Genomic DNA, 3,028 nt, shown 5'->3' on the forward strand with positions numbered 1-3,028 from the left:
GAAAATGTCTGATATGGTTTGGCTCTGTATTCCCACCCAAATCTCATCTTGTAGCTCATCTTGTAATCCCCATGTGTTGTGGAGGGACCCAGTGGCAGATGATTGAATCATGAGGGCGGGTCTTTCCTGTGTTGTTCTGGTGATAGTGAATGGGTCTCACGAGATCTGATGGTTTTAAAAACAGGAGCTTCTCTGTATAAGCTCTCTCTTTGCCTGCTGCCATCCATGTAAGATGTAACTTGCTCCTCCTTGCCTTCTGCTATAATTGTGAGGCCTCCCAAGCCATGTGAAACTGTAAATCCAATAAACCTCCTTCTTTTGTAAATTAGCCAGTCTCAGGTTTGTCTTTATCAGTGGTGAGAAAACAAACTAATACAATCAATTGGTACTAGAAGTGGAGTGCCTTTGATAAGATACCTGAAAATATAGAAACGACTTTGGAACTGAGTAACAAGCAGAGGTTGGAAGAGTTTGGAGGTCTCAGAAGAAGACAAGAAAATGTGGGACTGTTTGGAACATCCTAGAGACTTGCTGAATGGCTTTGCCCAAAATGCAGATTAGCAAAATGGACAATAAAGTCCAGGCTGAGTTGGTCTCAGATGGAAATGAGAAACTTGATGGGAACTGAAGCAAAGGTGACTCTTGTTATGTTTTAGCAAAGAGACTGGTGACATTTTGCCCCTGCCCTAGAGATTTGTGGAACTTTGAACTTGAGAGAGATGATTTAGGGTATCTGGTGGAAGAAATTTCTAAGCAGCAAAGCATTCAAGAGATGACTTGGGTGCTATTAAAGGCATTGAGTTTCAAAAGAAAAACAGAACATAAAAGTTTGGAAAATTTGCAGCCTGACAATGCAATAGAAAAGCAAATCCCATTTTCTGAGGCAAAAATCCAAGCCTGCTTCAGAAATTTGCATAAGTAACAAGAAGTGGAATGTTAATCCCCAAGACAATGGGGAATATGTCTCCAGGGCATGTCAGGGACCTTTGAGGCAGCTCCTCGTATCACAGGCCCAGAGGCCTAGGAGGAAAAAGTGTTTTTGTGGGCCATGCCCAGGGTCCCTATGATGTGTGCAGCCTAGGGACTTGGTGCTCTGTGTCCCAGCCTCTCCAGCCAGTAGCTGAAAGGGGCCAATGTAGAGCTCAGGTCATGGCTTCAAAGGGTGCAAGCCTCAAGCCTTGGAGGCTTCCACATGGTCTTGAGCCTGCAAGTGCACAGAAGTCAAGAATTAAGGTTTGGGAACCTCTGACAAGATTTCAGAGGATATATGGAAACACCTGGATGCCTGGGCAGCAGTTTGCTGTAGGAGCAGGCTCCTCATGGAGACTCTCTGCTAGGTCAGTGCAGAAGGGAAATGTGAAGTGGCAGCCACCACAGAGTCCCTACTGGGGCACCGCCTAGTGAAGCTGTGAGAAGAGGGCCACCATTCTCCAGATCCCAGAATGGTAGATCTACTGACAGCTTACACCATGCACCTGGAAAAGCCGCAGACACTCAATGCCAGCCCAAGAAAGTAGCTGGGAGGGAGGCTGTGCACTGCAAAGCCACAGGGGTAGAGCTGCGCAAGACTATGGGAACCCACTTCATGCATCAGTGTGACCTGGATATGAGACCTGGAGTCAAAGGAGATCATTTTGGACCTTTAAGATTTGACAGCCCCACTGGATTATGGACTTGCATAGGGCTTGTAGCCCCTTTGTTTTGCCCAATTTCTCCCACTTGGAATGGCTGTATTTACCCAATGCCTGTACCCTCATTGTATCTAGGAAGTAACTAACTTGCTTTTAATTTTATAGGCTCATATGTGGAAGGGAATTGCCTTGTCTCTAATGAGACTTTGGACTGTGGACTTTTGAGTTAATGCTGAAATGAGTTGATACTTTGGGGGACTGTGGGTATGACATGATTGGTTTTGAAATATGAGGATATGAGATTTGGGAGAGGCTGGGCAGAATTATTTGGTTTGACTCTATGTCCTCACCCAAATCTCATCTTGTAGCTCCCATAATCCCCATGTGTTGTGGGATGGACACAGTGGGAGATGATTGAATCATGAGTGCAGGTGTTTCTCGTGCTGTTCTTGTGATAGTGAATGGGTCTCACAAGATCTGATGGTTTTTAAATTGGGAGTTTCTCTGTACAAGCTCTCTCTTTGCCTGCTACCATCCATGTAAGATGTGACTTGCTCCTCCTTGCCTTCCACCATGATTGTGAGGCCTTCCAAGCTATGTGGAACTATAAGTCCAATAAACCTCTTTCTTTTGTAAATTGGCCAGTCTTGGGTATGTTTTTATCAGCAGCATGAAAATGGACTAATACAATGTCATATAAGCTGTGTAGCTATCTAACTATAAAATGAATATGTCTTATAACTTAAACACTCCTTACTCCATGAGTTAGCTCACATAGTTCAATAGAGACTAAATGTAATATTCTGGCCCAGAGTATAGGCCTGATATGACAAAGATTTGGGAGGCTATCCTTGATGTCTCAAACCTCCCTTTGCTTTGCTTGTGTGTCTTGATAGAATGTATCCTTGAATTATGTAGCAAATCAAAATTCTGACATTACCTTACCTTATTCATGTGAATCTGATTTGATAATATGATCTTTGTGATTGCTTGATCATCTGTTTATATCCTGCCTCTTAGAACATTGTCAGTATCAAATGTTCTCCCAAACTCAGTCTTATCACCACAATTTTCTTGACAAATATCATGGCACCACAAGACGTCCCAAATTCCCACATCATTCCCTTCCAGATTCTCTTCCCAATAGGGCTCCAGTATTACCTTATCTGCTTTTATTCCATACCCCTCCTGAGATTTCTAATGCTTCTACTGTGCCCTTAGTACTCGGAGGATATAATCAGCATAATGCTATGTTTCTCTGACATTTTTTTTTTCTGAATGATTTTCACAGTAACTTTTTTTAACTGTAACCTGATTTTCTTCTGAGGCACTACCCACTGAAAAAAAAATTTTCACATGGAAGCTGTTTTATCTTTCACATATTCTGTCTCACTGAG

The sequence above is a fragment of the Homo sapiens genome, chromosome 7 (assembly GCF_000001405.40).
Source record: "Homo sapiens chromosome 7, GRCh38.p14 Primary Assembly".
NCBI classification, from domain to species: Eukaryota; Metazoa; Chordata; class Mammalia; order Primates; family Hominidae; genus Homo; species Homo sapiens.